Raw genomic sequence first — 25,701 nt, 5'->3', positions numbered from 1 at the left:
TTCATATGATTCTAATGAAGGACTTTCCCACCACTCACCGCCTCCCTCTTTTTTCATCAGTCCCTCCATCTGCAAAGGTCATCAGGATCTTATGTGTTGACCTACCTTAGAACCATCTATCATTGGTTTGGCATTCCATTGTGGCAAATGCACAAATAAATACCACATTGTAATTACGGAAATATGGAGGGCCTGGGTTAGATATTCTGAACCCATTTGGGATGTGGGGAAATGAGCACTAACCCAGAATTCCACAGCGAGGGGCAGGGCTGCTCCAAACCCCATTCCCTTGAGGGTCACTTGTGCAGCGGATGGTGCTCTCTCCAATGAGGTCGAAGCTCGTCCCTCTGTCTGGGTGGGGGTCGCATGTGTAATTTACTGTTTTCCCAAAGGGAAAGACTTCCAGAGGTTTTCCTGTGTGTCTCCCATTAGGAATAACTGGAGGACTTGGACAAAAGATTTCTAGAAAAAACATGAAAGCTCTAAGTTTCATTCAGGAGTTTCACCAGAGGTATTCTGCAATTACAGGGTGCTATGATTGGTGTTGCTGAAAATATGCTAAGGAGATGACAGTAGACATTAGGACTTTGAAGAGTTGGATTAAATGAGATATCAATGAAAGTGTATTGCAAAGTACAAAAGAGACTTGTCTATCCTGAATCTTCCGGATAGTAACGGTTCCTGGACAATGGAAACTTTACAACTTTAATGAAGTAGCAAAACATTTGAAAAAGAAAAATAGCCATTTTGAAGGGTTGCTCATTCATTTAGTCAATATATATTAATTAAGCACTTGTCCTGTGTCAGCCACTCATCAGGATCCTGGGGACAGAGTGCTGAGGAAGGAGCCTGCATTCTTAGGAAATATTTCTCAAATGTACATATGTGTGCTAATCATCTTAAATAGGTGAAACCTTTCGCTGATTACTTCTTGATATTGATCATCAATCTCAGTGATAACAATAGCCCTGTCACAGTGAATTAAAACATAGTAAGGCCATGATAAAAAACAACTCCAAATGGATTCAGATGGCTTTGCTTTTGAAAATGTCTAGGTCTGTTGATGATTTATTTTCTCTTTTAACTTTCTGGGTCAGGTTTCAAGTTGTTTCTCCTTTCTAGCATCTGCTGATTTGTTTAGAACAGTTTCTTCCTCATTTCTAATTGGCATTTTTCATTAGAACTGGAATTTGGAAGAAGCTACTTTAACTAGCAACAGTTATGAAAAATAAGAGAAAGCTTGAGTAGTCCAATCAATGAGCTTTCATTCATGATGGTAGAACAGAAATTTGTCATGCTGCTTCAAGGAGCACTGAATTTCTTAGACAGCAAGAATCTCTATATAAGTTATGTTCTTCCAAAATTTTACTCTAAAAAGCACTGTAAGATGTCCATTTCTAACAACATAAACATTTTAGTAAAATTTCATGGTTTTCTAAAGAAACACATTTCCCAATCATTAGAATCAAGAAATGAAGCAAAGTTCTATCTTCTATTGGGGAAATTATAAATGGGGAGACTAGGAGAAATCAGTAGTCTACTCATTATTGAACATATGGGGCTCATTTTTTAAAAATGACATTATTTAAAAAGCCTGCATTGCCAAGTCTATCCTAAGCCAAAAGAACAAACTGGAGGCATCAAACTACCTGACTTCAAACTATACTACAAGGCTACAGTAACCAAAACAGCATGGTACTGGTACCAAAACAGAGATATAGACCAATGCAACAGAACAGAGCCCTCAGAAATAATACTACACATCTACAACCATCTGATCTTTGACAAACCTGACAAAAACAAGAAATGGGGAAAGGATTCCCTATTTAATAAATGGTACTGGGAAAACTGGCTAGCCATATGTAGAAAGCTGAAACTGGATCCCTTCCTTACACTGTATACAAAAATTAATTCAAGATGGATTAAAGACATAAATGTTAGACCTAAAACCATAAAAATCCTAGAAGAAAACATAGGCAATACCATTCAGGACACAGGCATGGGCAAGGACTTCATGTCTAAAACACCAAAAGCAATGGCAACAAAAGCCAAAATTGACAAAGGGGATATAATTAAACTAAAGAGCTTCTGCACAGCAAAAGAAACTACCATCAGAGTGAACAGACAACCTACAGAATGGGAGAACATTTTTGCAATCTACTCATCTGACAAAGGGCTAATATCCAGAATCTACAATGAACTCAAACAAATTTAAAAGAAAAAAACAACCCCATCAAAAAGTGGGTGAAGGATATGAACAGACACTTCTCAAAAGAAGACATTTATGCAGCTAACAGACACATGAAAAAATGCTCATCATCACTGGCCATCAGAGAAATGCAAATCAAAACCACAATGAGATACCATCTCACACCAGTTAGAATGGCTATCATTAAAAAGTCAGGAAACAACAGGTGCTGGAGAAGATGTGGAGAAATAGGAACATTTTTACACTGTTGGTGGGACTGTAACCTAGTTCAACCATTGTGGAAGACAGTGTGGTGATTCCTCAAAGATCTAGAACTAGAAATACCATTTGACCCAGCGATCCCATTACTGGGTATATACCCAAAGGATTATAAATCATGCTGCTATAAAGACACATGCACACATATGTTTATTGCTGCATTATTCACAATAGCAAAGACTTGGAACCAACCCAAATGTCCATCAATGATAGACTGGATTAAGAAAATGTGGCACATATACACCATGGAATACTATGCAGCCATAAAAATTGATGAGTTCATGTCCTTTTTAGGGACATGGATGAAGCTGGAAACCATCATTCTCAGCAAACTATCACAAGGACAAAAAACCAAACACCACATGTTCTCACTCATAGGTGGGAATTGAACAGTGAGAACACTTGGACACAAAAAGGGGAACATCACACACCGGGGCCTGTTGTGGGGTGGGGGAAGCGGGGAGGGATAGCATTAGGAGATATACCTAATGTAAATGACGAGTTAATGGGTGCAGCACACCAACATGGCACATGTATACATATGTAACAAACCTGCACGTTGTGCACATGTACCCTAGAACTTAAAAGTATAATAAATTTTTAAAAATGACATTATTTATGAATCTCTCAGCATAAATTATTTAGGTACATGTTTTGAGAATTTAAGGAGTCTCAAACTGCTCGCCTTGTCTAATGTTGCTCCTCACTTTTCCCTCATGCCTAAATGCTTTGCTCTACTATCTTCATAGCATCGTATTTATTTTTTTTCTTGTCCCTTTCCCCAACTGAGTGGAAACAACATGGGGACAGGGAATTCATTCATCTTGTTCACTGATATAACTCCTGTGGCTAGATGAACATCAGGCACAAAGTATGTGATCAATAAATATTGATTAAATAAAGGCATGTTTAATATTTGTGTATTATCAAATATATACAAAAATTGTAGACTGCACCTGATGGAAGAACAAAATGGAAAAGAAAGAAGGAGGAAGGAAGGAAGAAAGGGGAGAGAAAGAGAAGGGAAGAAAGAACTGAAGAAAGGAAGGAAGAGAAAAAAGAAACAAAAGAAAGAGAGAAAGAAAGCAAATTGTTAAGGCTTCACATTATCTAATCTCTCCTGACCTAGAATCATGCTACCATAGGATTTATCGCACTAGAACACAGAATACAGAAGGACAGAGACAGATCAGATGGTTCCAAAGACAGGTGATGTATACATTTGATTCACAACCAAACATTATTAAAATAAGCAATTTTCAAATCAATAATTCAAACTAGAAAATTGAAGAACCACATTAGGGGAGGTCATGGGTCAAATACTGAACAGATGAAGGGAGAGACTGGCCTGAAATGTTACTCCTGCTACTCACGTTCACACACTGGAACACTGCTATTCCAAAGGCTTTCCATTCCAGCCAAGACACAGTAACTAGCAGAGCTGCCTTTTAATTGAAATCTAAAGAAGAAAATAGGAGTGAATAGTGTGAGCTGTTTCAGCCAAGAGAACCCTTAGTTCACAATCTAAGGCCCAGCCCCAATTTCAGGATTATTAGGACCTTAGGCCAGCAGGTGGCAGAGTTGCACAGGCTACCTTATTCTGGAAAAATCACAGCCTCCAGAAGGGAACAATATAGAATGGCAAAATGCAGTAGCTTGGTCACATGATAGTCCTGCTTGAACTGAAAAAGGTGGTCATGACATAGGCGCCATCCCCTTGACCCAGGACCCAGGCTTGGAGTTTCACTGATTACTCCATGATAACCTGATAAATCACTCATTGTTGTTATTAGAAACCCAGTCTTCTAATGTAATGCCTTCCTAACTCTGACCCTGGAACAGCAAGTAAAACAGCTCCCAGTTTGGAGTGGAAAAGTGGGAAATAGCTGGCGAGAGAACAGACTGTCCTTTCATCTCCACATCTGTGATGGCGTGAAGAAGGCTCAAAAGGGCAATTTGGGCTGCTGAAGAGTAAGCATGAATATTCTAGGGGAAAAAGGAAAGAAGAGAGGACTTATTTTTTGCATGCAATTGTCGAAAATTCTCAATGTCTGCTGGACCCCGATGCCCTCCTAACTCTTACTGGGTGCTGGCATTTGGAGGCTGCCAAGATTCTGTGTTACATTTTGGGATCAGGTGCTTTGTTGCCCATGCCGGTCAGCTCCCGTGTAGAGATGTGCACCCTGCGAAGAGCACTAGGTGGACATAAACAAGGTAATGAGCTTGCTGGAAATATTAACAGCAGCCATCAGGACCCCAGCTCAGAGCCCAGAGCCCATGATTAACCAGATGATATATGGCTGGATTTTTTTAAAAAATGCTGATTTTTACATTTTCAGTCCTATTACAAATTTCACTGTTGACGATTTAAAGAATTTACTGAAATGATTCACAAATGATCCTAGCTTTTTATAATAAGCTTTTGTTACTTCCAGTTTTTTCCTGGGACTCTCTAAATTACTCATATTCCTTTTTGCTTGTAAAATATGATTTTTTTTCCTGAGATGGAGTTTCACTCTTATTGTCCACGCTGGAGTGCAATGGTGCCATCTCGGCTCACTGCAAACTCCACCTCCCAGGTTCAAGTGATTCTGGTGCCTCAGCCTCCGGAATAGCTGGGATTACAGGCACATGCCACCACACCCAGCTAACTTTTGTATTTTTAGTAGAGACAGGGTTTCATCATGTTGTCCAGGCTGGTCTCCAACTCCTGACCTCAGGTGATCTGCCCGCCTCAACCTCCCAAAGGTGCTAGGATTACAGGGGTGAGCCACCGTTTCTGGCTGATATTTTTTGCTTAATGTGTTACTTATATATTCATAACCAGTAGTTATACTTGCCTTTGAACTTGCCAGTTAATATATGTTCCAGTTTCCTCTTCATATCTCATGTTATTAGTTCTATATGTTTCTTTCCTTTCTTCCTAGGTATACTTTCGAAAGTTCATCTCTCTGAAGGTGTGTGTGTGTGTGCCACACCAAATCTCCCCTTTTTAGACTGATTCCCAACCCCAATTTCAATGTCCAGCAGGTCAGGCAAGCTCATACTCACCCTTCATCACAAACAAAATCCACTTTTGCTCCAAGCTGGAGATTTACTGGAAATAGCACACGGCCATTAAGAAGTTGGCCCATGAAGTCATCACAGGATTTCACTGGAGATAAAGAAAAACGAACAGAAATCACTGGCATGTGGAGAATAAAGACGCAAGCTAAAAATATCAAGCCAGATAAGAGTCTAGTCACCTTCACATGTGGGGGCTGCAGGGCTCCAGTCTCCCTGGGGTGTGCAGCGCATAGACGCAGCCCCTCTGAGGTCGTAGCCGGGCTCACAGCTGTAGAACACTTCCTGCCCGGGTGAAAAGTTGTCCTTGTCCCTTTGGGTACGCTCAGCATGCAGGACATCTGGAGGTGGCTGACATACTGGGGAGAGAGAAACAAAGTACAGCTAATTGTGTGAAAACAACTTTTTTCTCACTGTTAAACTGGCCAAGGGAATAATAATTACGAATCTATATATAATAATAAAGTTAGAATAACAGCCTTATTACATTGATAAACTAAATACACGGGGCAAGGAAGATGTCTTGCCATCAGTCATAGAACTGACACATGGCACAACTGTGACTAAAACAGAGGTATCTCCAATTCATTGTTTTTCATCTAAAGTATGCAACTAAGATTTCACAATGGACAGTTCCTTCTAGAATGCTTCCAATTACTGTTCACCCAGTACAAAATTGGGAGGAATGATGGATTTTTGTATCTTCATACTTCCTTTCTAGAAAGGCATCACCAATTTAGTCTTGCATTTTAAGCAATAAAGGAGTGCCCCTGCCCATGTCCCATCTAATAGGTCCCTCCATCACCTATCACACTGGTGCAACAAAGAGCGTCCATACATCTATGCTCATCTCCTTTCAAGTCTTCTCTCAGCGGCCACCTGACATAGGGTGGTAAAGAACTATGGGTCTCCTCTCTTCATGCTATGTAGCAAGGTGCTGCCTAGTCATTCATTTCACTTCAGTGAGAAGGTGGGAAACTGTCGAACAAAATCTGAAAGACCTACTGTCACCATAATGAGAGTGTAATTTCACACAACATATTGTAACGGCATCTCAGGCTCTCTCTTAATGTAGTTGATCTGATCTTGGGAAATCAAAACACATTTGGATCTCAAATAAATTACATAAAACTGTTATAAAATGGAAAAAGTAATTTCAGTTTGTCTTTGAGCAGATCAGTTCCCTTTTCTGGACTTCAGCTTTCTCAAGCATCAAATGGGGGATTGGAATAGAAAAATGACTTCTTTAAGGAGTTTGTAAATACTCTGATGCTGTAATGTCCATTTTCAGGGCTCATCACCCAGTGTTTCCCTGGACTAATCAATGCCTGGTGATGTAATATTGAGGTGCTGTGCTGGTTAAATTTCTGTTGGCCCCCAGCCTCACATTTCTGCACTGTCTTTTGACAGCTAACAATGGAGGCCTTAAAAATAAATCGTTCATCTTCCTTGATAGCTAGGCTCTGGTTAGGTTCTGCCAATTGGAGGCATATATACCAAATTAAAAAGCAGGATGATGGCAGAATCTGTTCTACTTCTAGAAGTGGCTCAGGCAGTGGCAGTATAGATGGCTTCAGTGAGTAGCTACAGCTTCAATTGTAACGATGCCAATGACTTTGGCTCCAGCAATATCAGCTGCATTCTGGCAGCAATGGTGGCTCCTGCAGTATTAGCAGCTTACAGGGAGCTGCCTGCTCAGTGGGAGGGGCTGGCCATTTCACCATCACTCCAGGCTCCTGTGCTGTAGACTGGGAGCCACAGCAGCTCCCTGATCTCTCGTAACTTTGCCTTTGTCCTATTGCTTTTCCTGCCCTTCTAACATTTTTGTGACCTATTAGCTGCGATATGGTTTGGCTCTATGTCCCCTCCCAAATCTCATGTCAAATGGTAATTCCCAGTGTTGGAGAAGGAGCCTGGTGGGAGGTGACTGGATCATGGAGGTGGTTTCTAATGGTTGAGCACCATCACCCTAGTGCTGTCTTGTGATAGAGTTCTGTCAAGATCTGCTTGTTTCAAAGTCTGTAACACCTCTGCCTTGCTCTCTCTCTCTCTCCTGCCAAGCATATGAAGATATGCGTGCTTCCTCTTTGCCTTCCACCATGATTGTAACTTTCCCAGCCATGCCTCCTGTACAGCCTACAGAACTCTGAGTCAATTAAACATCTTTTCTTTATAAATTACCCAGGCTCAAGTAGTTTTTTATAGGAATGTGAGAACAGACTAATACAACCTGCATGAAATCCCTCCCTCCTTGAAAGTATCTAGAGTAAGTTTTGATTTCATGACTGAATGCTGATGAGCAAAGCCAAGGCTCTGGAGTGAGGTGGACTTGCAATCCAGTTTTGTCTGCAAGTTACTGTCTCAGAATGTTATCTGATGTGTCTAAGGCACATATTCTCTGTAAAACATAGAGGCCGGGCACAGTGGCTCATGCCTATAATCCCAGCACTTTGGGAGCCCAAGGTGGGTGGGTGCTTGAGCTGAGGAGTTTGAGACCAGCCTGGGCAGCATGGTGAGACTCTGTCCCTACAAAAAAAATATAAAAAACTTAGCCAGGCATGGTGGCATGCACCTACATTCCCAGCTACTTGGGAGGCTCAGGCAGGAGACTTGCTTGAGTCAGGGAGGTGGAGGGTGAAGTATGCCATGATGGCACCACTGCAGTCCAACCTGAGTGACAGATCAAGACAGTATCTCAAGCAAAACAAAACAGACAAACATAGAACAACTGGGAACTACCTAATAACTTTGTTTTCAGGATTAAAATTCACATGTAGCCTGTATTATAGTGCCTGGGCAGAGGAATCACTCATTTTGTATCAAACATTATTATACTCAAAGGTAATTGATAGATCTGTTTATAAGAACCCCAAAGAAACATCATATCCCTTGCCCAGGTTGAGCTTTGCTTCTCAATTTCAGCACATGTGCATGTCTACACACCTGAATTTCATGTTCACTACTTAGAAAATTTGCTCCTCGACCCTGCTCAGCACACATCCCTCCCCGTGAACAAATACTAATCTCCTGATCCAACAGCAACGCATGTCACTTGCAGGGCCCTACTAGGCCTCAGTCAGACTCACCCCTGGAGCAGCTTGGTAGCTCCGGCTCCCATTTGTTCAGGGCCTGGCACTTCACACGGCGGGGTCCTTTCATGACAAAGCCAGGCTGACACCTAAACTCCACAACTTCATTTAAGGAAAATAAGCTTCTGTTGTCAGATACCAATATTCCATTTTCCACATTTGGAGGCGTGCATTTGTTAGGTATAATGCACTGAGGGGCCGGGCCGCTCCAGATGCCCACTTGATCGTCATTGCTGGTGCAGTATATGGAGGGCTCACCCACAAGCTCAAACACCTTTCTCCCTCCGCTTCCAGGATTGCAGCGGTAGGTCACCACTGATCCATAGTGAAAATTCTCTCTGTTGGTGCTAATGAAATCTCCATTGGCGATGGTGGGGGGTAGCCCACAAGGAATTCCTGGAAAAAGGGACAGCAAGTTAACCAAAACAAAACCTTGGGACAGAGTCTTGCTCTGTCACCCAGGCTGGAGTGTAGTGGCACGATCATGGCTCACTGCAACCTCCACTTCCCAGGTCAAGCAATCCTCCTACCTCAACTTCCCGAGTAGCTGGGATCACAGGCATGCACTACCATGTCTGGTTTATTTTTGTATTTTTAGTAGAGATGGGGTTTGGCCATGTTGGGCAGGCTAGTCTTGAACTCCTGGCCTCAAGCAATCTGCATGCCTCTGCTTTTCAAAGTGCTGGGATTATAAGCGTGAGCCACCACGCCTAGCCTGGTTTGTTAAAATCATACTTTATTGTAAATTTTCCCAAAAGTTTTTTTTTTAATTCCAAATTACCAGAAGTAAATATTGAAAATACTATTCTCATCTACTATTTGCTAATGTACAGACATGTTCTTACAGTTTTAAAATATTATAAGTTCTGCTCTACTCAGTTAAGTTTATTTCACTAAATGTGTCCATGTATTATTAGAGTCCACTTTTTTTTTTTTTTTTTAACAGATCCTCACTCTGTTCCCCAGGCTGGAGTGCAGTGGCGTGATCTTGGCTCACTGCAGCCCTTGCCTCCCAGGTTCAAGCGATTTTCCTGCCTCAGCCTCCTGAGTAGCTGGGATTTCAGGCATGCGCCACCAAACTCGGCTAACTTTTGTATTTTTAGTAGAGGCGGGGTTTCATTATGTTGGCCAGGGTGGTCTCAAACTACTGACCTCAAGTGATCTGCCCACCTCAGCCTCCTAATGTGCTGGGATTACAGGTATGAGCCACTGTGCCTAGCCTATAGTCTATGTTTTTATTTCTCCTGCTAAATGAGAATTTAACTGTTATCTCACCATTATTAATTTAGTTCTCTCTATATAGAAGGCATGTGTCTTTATTCTATTGGATATTAATATAATAAAGCATACAGCATAGCATTTTTTTTGAGACAAGGTCTTGCTCTGCTGCCCAGACTGGAGTGCAGTGGCACGATCATGGCTCATTGCAGCCTCGACCTCTCTGGCTCAAGCAATCCTCCCACCTCTCAGTCTCCTGAGTAGTTGGGACTACAGGCATGTGCCACCATGCCCGTATAGTTTTTGTATTTTTGTAGAGACAGCGTTTCAGTATGTTGTACAGGCTGGTCTCAAACTCCTGGACTCAAGCCATCTGCTCACCTAGGCCTCCCAAAGTGCTGGGATTACACGTTTGAGTCACCACATGTGGCTCAGTATAACATCTTTATTAAATAATAAGAACAAAAGCTCTGGAAGAACTAACAAAGACAAAGTACAAATATACAATATTACATATAATAAACATGATACTTACAGATTCAGAAATAATAAAAAGAACTGGATACTGATCTACAACCATACCACCCTAAATGCGCCCAATCTCGTCTGATCTTGGAAGAACTGAATACTGTGTCCTACTCTACCGTAGGGCAGTGCCCAGCCAGTTTATTGGCCTTCTACAAAGTTTGTTCCCACTTATCCTCCCACCAACTGGGTTTGAAATTGCTGATTTCCTCACACCATCACTAAACCCAGGATTATACACATTTTATATTCCTTGTTAGCTTGCAATTGCTCATTCGTCTTTGCTCCCCAAAATGTAGAAAGCTCATCTTCCAAACAACTCACAGGGAAGATGGCATGATCCTGTTTAGACAAAGAATAAGAAGGAAGAAAGAGCTGCATGGCTTGAATATCTGATGTGATACTAAGAGCTTGCAGAGAGGATATGGGGTTTCTTTCACTGACTTTGTATTTGTTGACTTCACTAAATAAAATGCTCTTTAAACTGGGAGGTGTTCACCCAACAGAGGATGAAATTGGGGGACTGTTTAAGTGAGCTAAAGACTAGTTTAAAAAAAATTAGACCTTGAGATAAGAAAAAATAAAAAAGCATTTCTAGCTGAAGGTGGAAGTTTGGAATGCTGTGAGCCATTTTAAGGATATGACTGGATTCTTCAAATATGAGAAGGATACCATTTCCAAGAGGGATGAGATCCATTCTTTGTAATTCTAGGAGGACAACTCTAGGATTAAACGGTGGGGTGAATGGGGAAAGAGATTTCAACTCACGTTGACAAATTGGCGGCTTCGTGCTCCAATGGGCAGCATTGCCCGAGAGGATACATTCAGCAGATGAGTGACCAATGAGTCGGTGCCTAAAGGCAAAAAATGGAAAATAAATTGTGCTGTACATACCTCATCAACTTCCTGACAGCATGCATATGTGGCAAACCAGAGGGATTACAATGCAGGAGAAGTCTAAGGCCTAGCCTAAACTTTACCTATTGTTCCCAGCTTTTCTACTTCTTTTTCCTATTCTCTCACTATTGAAAGAGATATTTCTGCTCTAATTTCTCCTGGCCCACTTTGCTTCTTAATATCTTCGCTTCATTGCGGACTGTAACTGGCACCAAAATAAAACAATTATTTTGCAGACCTGTTTGACAATTTTTTTTCTTAAATTCTATCTTTCTCTAAATATTATTTCTGCCATTTTTTGTCTGCATTTTCCCTTAATGTGTGTGTGTGTGTGTATGTGTGTGTGTGTGTATAATACTATGTCATTTTACTTGAGACATGTTTTTTATAAATACAAGATATGTTGCTTTTGATCCTGTCTAGGAGAATTTGTCTTTCAACAAGAAGATTAAACCAAACGTATTGAGGTAAATGATACATTTGATTAGCTTTCATCATCATTCTTTCACTGCCTTTTCATTGATTTCATGATGCCTAATGATGAGGATGTGGAGAAAGCAATGAATAAAGTGACCTGACCCAAACATGAGGGAGCTTATTTCTGGTGGAAGAGAAAAATGGATTCCTTGCTATTCCTTTTCCTTCCCCCTCAATTACTATATGGAACAGATAGATTCAACTGTTTTAGTCATTCTAATAATTTGGAAATTAAACTTAATATTTTTTCCAGTGAGGAATTTCATTTTATATGTGTGCATGTATATTATACATATACACGTGACACATATTTAAACCTCTTTTCTCAATTTTAGAGTCAAACTCTATATAGTCAGTCTACTCATCTTTTCTGTAATGTAAGTCTAGCCTATCTTTTCTTGCTGTCTCACATTTTCTAGTTTTATTGATATATTCTATGAGTTTAGAGAGATTATTAATAAATTATTATTACATTGCCAAGATTTTGTGTGTATGTTTTTTTTATTGTTGTTTTTTCTTTTTACCTACATCCTATCTCATTGAGATTTCCTTTGGAATTCATCATTCTCCTTTTTAAAAATTTGCTTATGAATTGCCTGGGAAACATACTTAAATGGTACAATTTTTGTGTCTTTGCTTATCCTTTAATGTGTACCTGGAGCCTCTAGGTGTGCATATTAGCTTGGCTCAAGAGAAGTGCTATCTTCTACAATTTAGTGTTATACAATATATCTTATACAATATAGAATCAATGTGGTGTCAATAAATTTATTTCTTTTGCGGGTATTATATTTTCACATTTTATTTCTGGAATCAGAGTTTTTTTCTCTATCCCTGAAACACAGAAGTTTCCCTAGTGATGGCTAGGTATGGGCTTATTTGCTTACCCTTCTGGAATTTTTGCTACATGTATTTTGAATCCTGACACTGTGTTACATATGTCTTCTCTTTTTCCTTTTTTGAGACAGGGTCTCATTCTGTCATCCAGGCTGGAGTGCAGGGTTGCCATCAAGGCTCACTGAAGCCTCAGCCTCCTGGGCTCAGGTGATCCTCCCACTTCATTCTCCTGCCTAGCTGTGACTACAGTCACATGCTGCCATGCCCAGCTAATTTTTATACTTTTTTGTAGAGATGGGTTTTTGCCATGTTGTCCAGGCTGGTCTTGAGCTCCTGGGCTCAAGTGATCCTCTTGCCCCGGCCTCTCAATATGTTGGGATTACATGTGTGAGCCACTGTGCTTGCCTGTCTTCTCCTTTTCATCTTTTCCCACTGCATTCAGGGAACATTTGGTTAACTCTTCTTACTCTTTGCTTTAATTTTCTGCAATATTCATTGTGATATATATATATATATATATATATATATATGATATAGATCACATGTATGAAATGAAATATATAAACACACTGAATACATATATTCATTCATGTACACACTTCATGGCTAGTTTCACAGAAGTATTTGTACAATTGAATCTTGTTACAAATATGAAAAGGAGAGTGTTCTGAAAGTTTCCCTGGTTTCTTGGCAGTAAATCTCTTTTGTAAAATTTCTCCTGATTTTTCAGACTGGTCTCTTTTACATGTATTTCCTGTTTCTTCTCATAAGCTCAATGGTTTTCTGCTTCATGCCATAGAGAGGTTCCTCACTTATTCAGCAATGCAAGATGAGTAGGGTACAGTCAGGAAATTTACCAATTGTATTTAAAAATGCTTAAAAAAAGAGAGAAAAGGAGACATCGGATTTATTCTAATTTTTGTCAGATTCTAGGTGTTGTGGTCTGTGAGGCCTATGCTGGCAAATGTGCTGGACACCACAAACTTCCTTTCAGTGTCTGCTGTGGTGACACAAACGTAACTCGTATTCGCTACCTGGCTTAGCTGTTCCCATGAAGAATGAGATTGAGGCAGAGCCTCCACCGTGTGCTGAGCAAGGGTGAGCACCAACAGCTGGACCGTGTGCTGTGAGCACCTGATGCCTGACATTTTCAAAGGGGCTCTGTTATAGGTTGAATTGTGTCTCCCCTGAGTATGCTGAAGTCTTAACCTCCAGTCCCTGTGGATGTGACCTTATTTGGAAATACGATCTTTGCAGACGCAATCAAGTTAAGGTGAGGTCATGAAGGTAGGCCCTAATCCAGTGTGACTGGTGTCCTTATTAAAAGGGAAAACTTTGGAAACAGACATGCACAGAGAGAACAGCATATGAGGACACAGACCCAGAGGGAAGATGGCCATATGAGGACAGAGACAGAAATTGGAGTTCTGCTGCCACATGCCAAGGAAGGCCTGTGGCTCCAGAAGCTGGAAGATGCAATGAAGGATCCTTCCCTACAGGATTCAGAGGGAGCGTGGCCCTCCCAAAACCTTGATTTTGGATTTCCAGTCTCTAGAATGGAACTCCAAAAACTTCTGTTGTATTAAGCCGCCCACTTCGTGTTACAGACATTCCTCAAATATATTGCAGGTTCAGTTCCAGACCACCACAATAAAACACATATCACAACAAATGAGTCAGATGAATTTTTTGATTTCTCAGTGAGTCTAAAAGTTGTGTTTATACTATACGGTAGTCTATTAAGTGTGAAATAGCATTATGTCTAAACAAAGTCATACTTTAAAAAAAGGTTTATTGATAAGAAAATACTAAAGATTATCTGACCTTCAATAATTTGTAATCTTTTTGTTGGTGGAGGGTCTTGCCTCAAGGTTGATGGCTGCTGACTGATCAGGGTGGTGGTTGCTGAAGGCTGGGGTGGCTGTGGCAATTTCTTAAGCTGAGACAGCAATAAAATTGCTGTATTGATGGACTCTTCCTTTCACAAAAGATTTTTCTAGCATGCAATGCTGTTTGATAACATTTTACCCTCTGAACTGCTTTCAAAATTGGAGTTAATCCTCCCGATACTGCTGCTGCTTTATCACCTAAGTTTTTGTAATATTCTGTATCCTTTGTGGTCATTTTCACAATGCTCATGTCATCATCACCAGGAAGACACTCCACCTCAAAAAAACCACTTTCTCTGCTGATTCATGAGAAGCAACTCCTCATCTGTTCAAGTTTGATCATGAATTTGTCGCAATTCAGTCACGTCTTCAGGCTCCACTTCTAATTGTAGTTCTCTTGCGATTTTCACCACATCTTCAGTTATTTCCTCCGCTGAAGTCTTGAACCTCTCAAAGTCAGCCATGAGGGTTGGAATTAACTTCTACCAAACTCCTATTAATGTTGATATTTTAAGCTCTTCCCATGAATCACGAATGTTCTTAATGGTATGTAGAATGATGAATTCTTTCCAGCAGTTTTCAACTTATTTTGTTCAGATCCATCAGAGGAATTACTGTCTGTGGGGACTCACCTTACAAAATGTATTTCTTAAATAGTGAAACTTGAAAGTCAAAATTACTCCTTCAGCCATGGGCTGCAGAATGGCTGCTGTTGTTAGCAGGCAGGAAAACTCCATTCATCTCCATGTCCTTCTCCATTAGAGCTCTTGGCTGCTTAGGTGCAATGTCAATGAGCAGTAATATTTTGAAAGGAATCTGTTTTTCTGAGCACTAGATCTCAACAGTGGGCTTAAAATATTCAGTAAACTATGCCGCAAACATACCTCTGTCATCAGGCTTTGTTCTTCCATTTATAGACACAGGCAAGGTATATTTAACTTAATGCTTAAGGGCCCTAGGATTTTTAGAATGGTCGGTGAACATTGGCTTCAACTCAAAGTCACCAGCGGCATTAGCTCCTAAAAAGTCAGCCTGTTCTTTGAAGCTTTGAACCCAGGTATTGGCTTCTCCTCTCTAGCTATGAAAGTCCAATAGATGGCTGTTTTGTCTACATGGAAAATCTGTTATTTAGTGTAACACCTTCGTCAGTGATCTTAGCTAGATTTTCTAGATAACTTGCTGCAACTTCTATATGAGCACTGGCTGCTTCACCTTGGACCTTTATGTTATGGAGAGGGCTTCTTTCCTTAAACCTCAGGAACCAAATTCTGCTAGCTTCCAGCTTCTGTCAGCCTTCACAGAATTGAAGAGAGTTACGGCCTTGCTCAGGATTACGCTTTGGCTTCAGGAAATGTTTCTAGTTTGATCTTATGTCTAGACCACTAAAACTTCTTCCATATCAGCAATAAGGCTGTTTTACCTTCTTATCATACATGTGTTCACTGGAAGAGCATTTTAAATTTCCTTCAAGTATTTTTACTTTGCCTTTACAACTTTCTAGCTGTTTGGCACATGAGGAATGGCTTTTGGCCTATCTTGGTTTTCAACGTATCTTCCTCAGTAAGCTTAATCATCTCTAGCTTTTGATTTAAAGTAAGAGATGCATGACTCTTCCCTTCATGTCAACACTTAAAGGCTATTGTAGGGTTATTAATTGGAGTCATTTTAGTATTATTGTGTCTCAGGGATTAGGGAGTCCTGAAGAGAGGGAGACAGAAGGGGAATGTCTAGTCCATGGAGCAGTCAAAGCACGCACATTTATTGATTAAGTTTTCTGTCTTATATGGGTGCAGTTCGTAGGGACCCCAAACAATGACAATAGTAACATCAAAGATCACTGATGACAGATCACTATCACAGACATGATAATAATGAAAACATCTGGGATACTGTGAGAATAATCAAAATGCTACACAGAGACACGAAGTCAACACACGCTGTTGGATAAATGATGCCGACGAACATGCTTACACAGCGTTCCCACAAGCGTTCAATTTGTAAAAAGCATAACATCTGCGAAGTACAATAAAACGAGGAAGGCCTGTACTTTTTGATGGCAGCCCTAGCAAGGGATCATGCTGTTATCATTAAGATTCATTCTCTCACACAGCTGCTACATGGTCTTCCCTTTCTTCCAGCAATGTCTACTCTGGGTTAGGGTTGTTTGTGTGCTTTGACTACTACACTTCTAAGTTTTTTTCCTTCCCATCCAGTGAACAGCATACTCTTTATATGTGCACTGCCCTGGTTTCCAGCAAGGATACAGATTTTCCCCCTAATCTTCTCCTATCTTTGTTCATTTCAATCAGGAGTTAACACCTGTGTTCAAGCCTCTTAAGAGCAGGTGGCAATAGCCTAGTTTCCTTGCTGAGATGTGGCTAGAAAGTACTATCGCTGTGCTGGAACTCTTAAACCAAGAGATGTTGCTGCCAACTCACCCTGTAGTACAAGAATAGTTGATTCTGGATCCAACCTGGATGTCTGTGATCACATGCACCATGCCATTCACTGGATCTGGAGGAGTTTTACATGATTTACCTGTGGGAAAGAAAATGTTTTGGAGCCAGGTAGAGTAATCTGAACTCTCTTCAGTACGTAAGGTCTCAACCTGCATGTAGCTTCCTGAAGAAAACACGCGGCTCTGATGGTTCCACAGATTTTGGCACCTTGAGAAAACTCATCAGAGCGCTGAGGATCAGCCACCTACTAAGCCCCACTTTCAAAAAGACCTTCCCTCCAGATCTATCTAGATCTAGATTTAGATCTGTGTAGAGACCTTGCATCCCTTATCAAAATGTAAAGGTCATTTATGGCATTATTTACTATCAATATATTTCAAAGTTTGCAAAGGATTTCTTCCCACCTAGTTATTCAAACAGAATTTGTCTTCCTACACCATTTTTTTCCTGATCTAGTCATTTATTATTTTCTTTCCCATAGGGAATGAAGATTTTCTCTACAACTATTTCTTGAAACATTCTCATGAAGTTAACATTTCAAGCAACAATCAAGGATGCCTACAAGAAAAACTCTTACATCCATCTATCCGAACACTTTTCAGAAAAGGTTTCTCATATCCCACATTTGAAATAATTCCATAAGAAGCTTTTGCAGACATGGGAAAGATCCAACGCAAGTTTACGCACGTTTACAGACATCTTTGGGACTTGACCAGACCAGGTTATCTAGACATGTGATAGAGAATGGCCTCCCGTAGTACTCAGGACGGCATTCGTACTTTAAAGATGTCCCAATGGGAAAGTCAGATGCATTGGTTTGGGTTTTCAACTTGGCAAACAGAAAATGATCTGGGGCTTGACAGTGACCTAGAGACCAAGAAATCAAGAATATTTGAGTTAATAAAAAGATACCCAGTGTGTTTCCTCTTTTCTCTTCCTTGGTAGATTTGATGCCAGAAGAAAAGAAAATTTTAGTTATGAAAAAAAAAAAACTTCCCTGTAAAATAGAAAGGAAAGTTCCATTAGCATAGGCTTATAAGGAAGTATATTATTTGGAAGACTAGCCTGCTATCTGGTCTTTCTACTCATATAATTTATTTTTGTTTTTAAATTTTTTTTCTATTTTTAGTAGAGTTGGAGTTTCACTGTGTTTGCGGGCTGGTCTGGAACTCCTGACCTCTAGTGATCCACCAGCCTTGGCCTCCTAATGCCTATTTTTATTGTTTTTGAGATAGGGTCTCGCTCTGTCACCCAGGCTGGAGTGCAGTGGCACAATCTTGGCTCACTGCAACCTCTGCCTCCCAGGCTTAAGGGATACTCCCATCTCAGCCTCTCGAGTAGCTGGGACCACAGGCAATTGCCACCACGCTCAGCTAATGCTCATATAATTTAATGTAAAGATAGCTCCCATTTAATTTTTCACATTTTTAGGAAGCCAGAAAGAGTTTTTCTGCCCAGGTTCCACCTTTCCTGTCTGGTTTCCTTGTACTTCAAGTCATCAAAACTCCAATGAGAGGCTGTCAAGCATGGGCGGGAACTCAAGACGTTTCCTGGCAGAAGGAGCCACCGATTTTCTAGGTCAGATTTCTAAACCAAACATTTCAATAAGGAGATTCACAGGCATCTGTTTTTAATTCATATGATTCTAATGAAGGACTTTCCCACCACTCACCGCCTCCCTCTTTTTTCATCAGTCCCTCCATCTGCAAAGGTCATCAGGATCTTATGTGTTGACCTACCTTAGAACCATCTATCATTGGTTTGGCATTCCATTGTGGCAAATGCACAAATAAATACCACATTGTAATTACGGAAATATGGAGGGCCTGGGTTAGATATTCTGAACCCATTTGGGATGTGGGGAAATGAGCACTAACCCAGAATTCCACAGCGAGGGGCAGGGCTGCTCCAAACCCCATTCCCTTGAGGGTCACTTGTGCAGCGGATGGTGCTCTCTCCAATGAGGTCGAAGCTCGTCCCTCTGTCTGGGTGGGGGTCGCATGTGTAATTTACTGTTTTCCCAAAGGGAAAGACTTCCAGAGGTTTTCCTGTGTGTCTCCCATTAGGAATAACTGGAGGACTTGGACAAAAGATTTCTAGAAAAAACATGAAAGCTCTAAGTTTCATTCAGGAGTTTCACCAGAGGTATTCTGCAATTACAGGGTGCTATGATTGGTGTTGCTGAAAATATGCTAAGGAGATGACAGTAGACATTAGGACTTTGAAGAGTTGGATTAAATGAGATATCAATGAAAGTGTATTGCAAAGTACAAAAGAGACTTGTCTATCCTGAATCTTCCGGATAGTAACGGTTCCTGGACAATGGAAACTTTACAACTTTAATGAAGTAGCAAAACATTTGAAAAAGAAAAATAGCCATTTTGAAGGGTTGCTCATTCATTTAGTCAATATATATTAATTAAGCACTTGTCCTGTGTCAGCCACTCATCAGGATCCTGGGGACAGAGTGCTGAGGAAGGAGCCTGCATTCTTAGGAAATATTTCTCAAATGTACATATGTGTGCTAATCATCTTAAATAGGTGAAACCTTTCGCTGATTACTTCTTGATATTGATCATCAATCTCAGTGATAACAATAGCCCTGTCACAGTGAATTAAAACATAGTAAGGCCATGATAAAAAACAACTCCAAATGGATTCAGATGGCTTTGCTTTTGAAAATGTCTAGGTCTGTTGATGATTTATTTTCTCTTTTAACTTTCTGGGTCAGGTTTCAAGTTGTTTCTCCTTTCTAGCATCTGCTGATTTGTTTAGAACAGTTTCTTCCTCATTTCTAATTGGCATTTTTCATTAGAACTGGAATTTGGAAGAAGCTACTTTAACTAGCAACAGTTATGAAAAATAAGAGAAAGCTTGAGTAGTCCAATCAATGAGCTTTCATTCATGATGGTAGAACAGAAATTTGTCATGCTGCTTCAAGGAGCACTGAATTTCTTAGACAGCAAGAATCTCTATATAAGTTATGTTCTTCCAAAATTTTACTCTAAAAAGCACTGTAAGATGTCCATTTCTAACAACATAAACATTTTAGTAAAATTTCATGGTTTTCTAAAGAAACACATTTCCCAATCATTAGAATCAAGAAATGAAGCAAAGTTCTATCTTCTATTGGGGAAATTATAAATGGGGAGACTAGGAGAAATCAGTAGTCTACTCATTATTGAACATATGGGGCTCATTTTTTAAAAATGACATTATTTAAAAAGCCTGCATTGCCAAGTCTATCCTAAGCCAAAAGAACAAACTGGAGGCATCAAACTACCTGACTTCAAACTATACTACAAGGCTACAGTAACCAAAACAGCATGGTACTGGTACCAAAACAGAGATATAGACCAATGCAACAGAACAGAGCCCTCAGAAATAATACTACACATCTACAACCATCTGATCTTTGACAAACCTGACAAAAACAAGAAATGGGGAAAGGATTCCCTATTTAATAAATGGTACTGGGAAAACTGGCTAGCCATATGTAGAAAGCTGAAACTGGATCCCTTCCTTACACTGTATACAAAAATTAATTCAAGATGGATTAAAGACATAAATGTTAGACCTAAAACCATAAAAATCCTAGAAGAAAACATAGGCAATACCATTCAGGACACAGGCATGGGCAAGGACTTCATGTCTAAAACACCAAAAGCAATGGCAACAAAAGCCAAAATTGACAAAGGGGATATAATTAAACTAAAGAGCTTCTGCACAGCAAAAGAAACTACCATCAGAGTGAACAGACAACCTACAGAATGGGAGAACATTTTTGCAATCTACTCATCTGACAAAGGGCTAATATCCAGAATCTACAATGAACTCAAACAAATTTAAAAGAAAAAAACAACCCCATCAAAAAGTGGGTGAAGGATATGAACAGACACTTCTCAAAAGAAGACATTTATGCAGCTAACAGACACATGAAAAAATGCTCATCATCACTGGCCATCAGAGAAATGCAAATCAAAACCACAATGAGATACCATCTCACACCAGTTAGAATGGCTATCATTAAAAAGTCAGGAAACAACAGGTGCTGGAGAAGATGTGGAGAAATAGGAACATTTTTACACTGTTGGTGGGACTGTAACCTAGTTCAACCATTGTGGAAGACAGTGTGGTGATTCCTCAAAGATCTAGAACTAGAAATACCATTTGACCCAGCGATCCCATTACTGGGTATATACCCAAAGGATTATAAATCATGCTGCTATAAAGACACATGCACACATATGTTTATTGCTGCATTATTCACAATAGCAAAGACTTGGAACCAACCCAAATGTCCATCAATGATAGACTGGATTAAGAAAATGTGGCACATATACACCATGGAATACTATGCAGCCATAAAAATTGATGAGTTCATGTCCTTTTTAGGGACATGGATGAAGCTGGAAACCATCATTCTCAGCAAACTATCACAAGGACAAAAAACCAAACACCACATGTTCTCACTCATAGGTGGGAATTGAACAGTGAGAACACTTGGACACAAAAAGGGGAACATCACACACCGGGGCCTGTTGTGGGGTGGGGGAAGCGGGGAGGGATAGCATTAGGAGATATACCTAATGTAAATGACGAGTTAATGGGTGCAGCACACCAACATGGCACATGTATACATATGTAACAAACCTGCACGTTGTGCACATGTACCCTAGAACTTAAAAGTATAATAAATTTTTAAAAATGACATTATTTATGAATCTCTCAGCATAAATTATTTAGGTACATGTTTTGAGAATTTAAGGAGTCTCAAACTGCTCGCCTTGTCTAATGTTGCTCCTCACTTTTCCCTCATGCCTAAATGCTTTGCTCTACTATCTTCATAGCATCGTATTTATTTTTTTTCTTGTCCCTTTCCCCAACTGAGTGGAAACAACATGGGGACAGGGAATTCATTCATCTTGTTCACTGATATAACTCCTGTGGCTAGATGAACATCAGGCACAAAGTATGTGATCAATAAATATTGATTAAATAAAGGCATGTTTAATATTTGTGTATTATCAAATATATACAAAAATTGTAGACTGCACCTGATGGAAGAACAAAATGGAAAAGAAAGAAGGAGGAAGGAAGGAAGAAAGGGGAGAGAAAGAGAAGGGAAGAAAGAACTGAAGAAAGGAAGGAAGAGAAAAAAGAAACAAAAGAAAGAGAGAAAGAAAGCAAATTGTTAAGGCTTCACATTATCTAATCTCTCCTGACCTAGAATCATGCTACCATAGGATTTATCGCACTAGAACACAGAATACAGAAGGACAGAGACAGATCAGATGGTTCCAAAGACAGGTGATGTATACATTTGATTCACAACCAAACATTATTAAAATAAGCAATTTTCAAATCAATAATTCAAACTAGAAAATTGAAGAACCACATTAGGGGAGGTCATGGGTCAAATACTGAACAGATGAAGGGAGAGACTGGCCTGAAATGTTACTCCTGCTACTCACGTTCACACACTGGAACACTGCTATTCCAAAGGCTTTCCATTCCAGCCAAGACACAGTAACTAGCAGAGCTGCCTTTTAATTGAAATCTAAAGAAGAAAATAGGAGTGAATAGTGTGAGCTGTTTCAGCCAAGAGAACCCTTAGTTCACAATCTAAGGCCCAGCCCCAATTTCAGGATTATTAGGACCTTAGGCCAGCAGGTGGCAGAGTTGCACAGGCTACCTTATTCTGGAAAAATCACAGCCTCCAGAAGGGAACAATATAGAATGGCAAAATGCAGTAGCTTGGTCACATGATAGTCCTGCTTGAACTGAAAAAGGTGGTCATGACATAGGCGCCATCCCCTTGACCCAGGACCCAGGCTTGGAGTTTCACTGATTACTCCATGATAACCTGATAAATCACTCATTGTTGTTATTAGAAACCCAGTCTTCTAATGTAATGCCTTCCTAACTCTGACCCTGGAACAGCAAGTAAAACAGCTCCCAGTTTGGAGTGGAAAAGTGGGAAATAGCTGGCGAGAGAACAGACTGTCCTTTCATCTCCACATCTGTGATGGCGTGAAGAAGGCTCAAAAGGGCAATTTGGGCTGCTGAAGAGTAAGCATGAATATTCTAGGGGAAAAAGGAAAGAAGAGAGGACTTATTTTTTGCATGCAATTGTCGAAAATTCTCAATGTCTGCTGGACCCCGATGCCCTCCTAACTCTTACTGGGTGCTGGCATTTGGAGGCTGCCAAGATTCTGTGTTACATTTTGGGATCAGGTGCTTTGTTGCCCATGCCGGTCAGCTCCCGTGTAGAGATGTGCACCCTGCGAAGAGCACTAGGTGGACATAAACAAGGTAATGAGCTTGCTGGAAATATTAACAGCAGCCATCAGGACCCCAGCTCAGAGCCCAGAGCCCATGATTAACCAGATGATATATGGCTGGATTTTTTTAAAAAATGCTGATTTTTACATTTTCAGTCCTATTACAAATTTCACTGTTGACGATTTAAAGAATTTACTGAAATGATTCACAAATGATCCTAGCTTTTTATAATAAGCTTTTGTTACTTCCAGTTTTTTCCTGGGACTCTCTAAATTACTCATATTCCTTTTTGCTTGTAAAATATGATTTTTTTTCCTGAGATGGAGTTTCACTCTTATTGTCCACGCTGGAGTGCAATGGTGCCATCTCGGCTCACTGCAAACTCCACCTCCCAGGTTCAAGTGATTCTGGTGCCTCAGCCTCCGGAATAGCTGGGATTACAGGCACATGCCACCACACCCAGCTAACTTTTGTATTTTTAGTAGAGACAGGGTTTCATCATGTTGTCCAGGCTGGTCTCCAACTCCTGACCTCAGGTGATCTGCCCGCCTCAACCTCCCAAAGGTGCTAGGATTACAGGGGTGAGCCACCGTTTCTGGCTGATATTTTTTGCTTAATGTGTTACTTATATATTCATAACCAGTAGTTATACTTGCCTTTGAACTTGCCAGTTAATATATGTTCCAGTTTCCTCTTCATATCTCATGTTATTAGTTCTATATGTTTCTTTCCTTTCTTCCTAGGTATACTTTCGAAAGTTCATCTCTCTGAAGGTGTGTGTGTGTGTGCCACACCAAATCTCCCCTTTTTAGACTGATTCCCAACCCCAATTTCAATGTCCAGCAGGTCAGGCAAGCTCATACTCACCCTTCATCACAAACAAAATCCACTTTTGCTCCAAGCTGGAGATTTACTGGAAATAGCACACGGCCATTAAGAAGTTGGCCCATGAAGTCATCACAGGATTTCACTGGAGATAAAGAAAAACGAACAGAAATCACTGGCATGTGGAGAATAAAGACGCAAGCTAAAAATATCAAGCCAGATAAGAGTCTAGTCACCTTCACATGTGGGGGCTGCAGGGCTCCAGTCTCCCTGGGGTGTGCAGCGCATAGACGCAGCCCCTCTGAGGTCGTAGCCGGGCTCACAGCTGTAGAACACTTCCTGCCCAGGTGAAAAGTTGTCCTTGTCCCTTTGGGTACGCTCAGCATGCAGGACATCTGGAGGTGGCTGACATACTGGGGAGAGAGAAACAAAGTACAGCTAATTGTGTGAAAACAACTTTTTTCTCACTGTTAAACTGGCCAAGGGAATAATAATTACAAATCTATATATAATAATAAAGTTAGAATAACAGCCTTATTACATTGATAAACTAAATACACAGGGCAAGGAAGATGTCTTGCCATCAGTCATAGAACTGACACGTGGCACAACTGTGACTAAAACAGAGGTATCTCCAATTCATTGTTTTTCATCTAAAGTATGCAACTAAGATTTCACAATGGACAGTTCCTTCTAGAATGCTTCCAATTACTGTTCACCCAGTACAAAATTGGGAGGAATGATGGATTTTCGTATCTTCATACTTCCTTTCTAGAAAGGCATCACCAATTTAGTCTTGCATTTTAAGCAATAAAGGAGTGCCCCTGCCCATGTCTCATCTAATAGGTCCCTCCATCACCTATCACACTGGTGCAACAAAGAGCGTCCATACATCTATGCTCATCTCCTTTCAAGTCTTCTCTCAGCGGCCACCTGACATAGGATGGTAAAGAACTATGGGTCTCCTCTCCTCATGCTATGTAGCAAGGTGCTGCCTAGTCATTCATTTCACTTCAGTGAGAAGGTGGGAAACTGTCGAACAAAATCTGAAAGACCTACTGTCACCATGATGAGAGTGTATATTTACGCAACATATTGTAAGGGCAGCGCTGGCTCTCTCTTAATATAGTTGATTGGAACTCAGGAAATCAGAACACATTTGGATCTCAACTAAATTACATAAAACTGTTATAAAATGGAAAAAATAATTTCGGTTTGTCTTTGAGCAGATCAGTTCCCTTTTCTGGACTTCAGCTTTCTCAAGCATCAAATGGGGGATTGGAATAGAAAAATGACTTCTTTAGGGAGTTTGTAAATACTCTGATGCTGTAATGTCCATTTTCAGGGCTCATCACCCAGTGTTTCCCTGGACTAATCAATGCCTGGTGATGTAATATTGAGGTGCTGTGCTGGTTAAATTTCTGTTGGCCCCCAGCCTCACACTTCTGCACTGTCTTTTGACAGCTAGCAAAGGAAGCCTTAAAACTACAATTGTTCATCTTCCTTGATAGCTGGGCTCTGGTTAGGTTCTGCCAATTGGAGGCATATATACCAAATTAAAAAGCAGGATGATGGCAGAATCTGTTCTACTTCTAGAAGTGGCTCAGGCAGTGGCAGTATAGATGGCTTCAGTGAGTAGCTACAGCTTCAATTGTAACGATGCCAATGAC

General features: G+C 40.4%; 1 protein-coding gene across 1 annotated transcript in view; it reads right to left on the bottom strand.

The window, feature by feature from the left end:
* The window catches only part of CR1 (complement C3b/C4b receptor 1 (Knops blood group)), a 145,609-nt gene that overhangs the window by 90,569 nt on the left and 29,339 nt on the right, over window positions 1–25,701 (bottom strand). Inside the window, exons 6-17 of the mRNA NM_000651.6 lie at window positions 24,268–24,444; window positions 24,074–24,176; window positions 22,396–22,481; window positions 18,799–19,017; window positions 17,609–17,788; window positions 16,901–17,000; window positions 11,131–11,216; window positions 8,617–9,015; window positions 5,713–5,889; window positions 5,519–5,621; window positions 3,841–3,926; window positions 244–462 (exon numbers count right to left, since the gene is read on the bottom strand). Of these exons, the coding sequence (NP_000642.3) occupies window positions 244–462; window positions 3,841–3,926; window positions 5,519–5,621; window positions 5,713–5,889; window positions 8,617–9,015; window positions 11,131–11,216; window positions 16,901–17,000; window positions 17,609–17,788; window positions 18,799–19,017; window positions 22,396–22,481; window positions 24,074–24,176; window positions 24,268–24,444 (1,935 nt within the window). The remainder of the gene's footprint in view (window positions 1–243; window positions 463–3,840; window positions 3,927–5,518; window positions 5,622–5,712; window positions 5,890–8,616; window positions 9,016–11,130; window positions 11,217–16,900; window positions 17,001–17,608; window positions 17,789–18,798; window positions 19,018–22,395; window positions 22,482–24,073; window positions 24,177–24,267; window positions 24,445–25,701) is intronic.

This window comes from Homo sapiens, chromosome 1, assembly GCF_000001405.40.
Source record: "Homo sapiens chromosome 1, GRCh38.p14 Primary Assembly".
Classification (NCBI taxonomy): Eukaryota; Metazoa; Chordata; class Mammalia; order Primates; family Hominidae; genus Homo; species Homo sapiens.
Note: the sequence above shows the minus strand (reverse complement) of the source record. Positions and strands in the feature narration are given on the sequence as shown.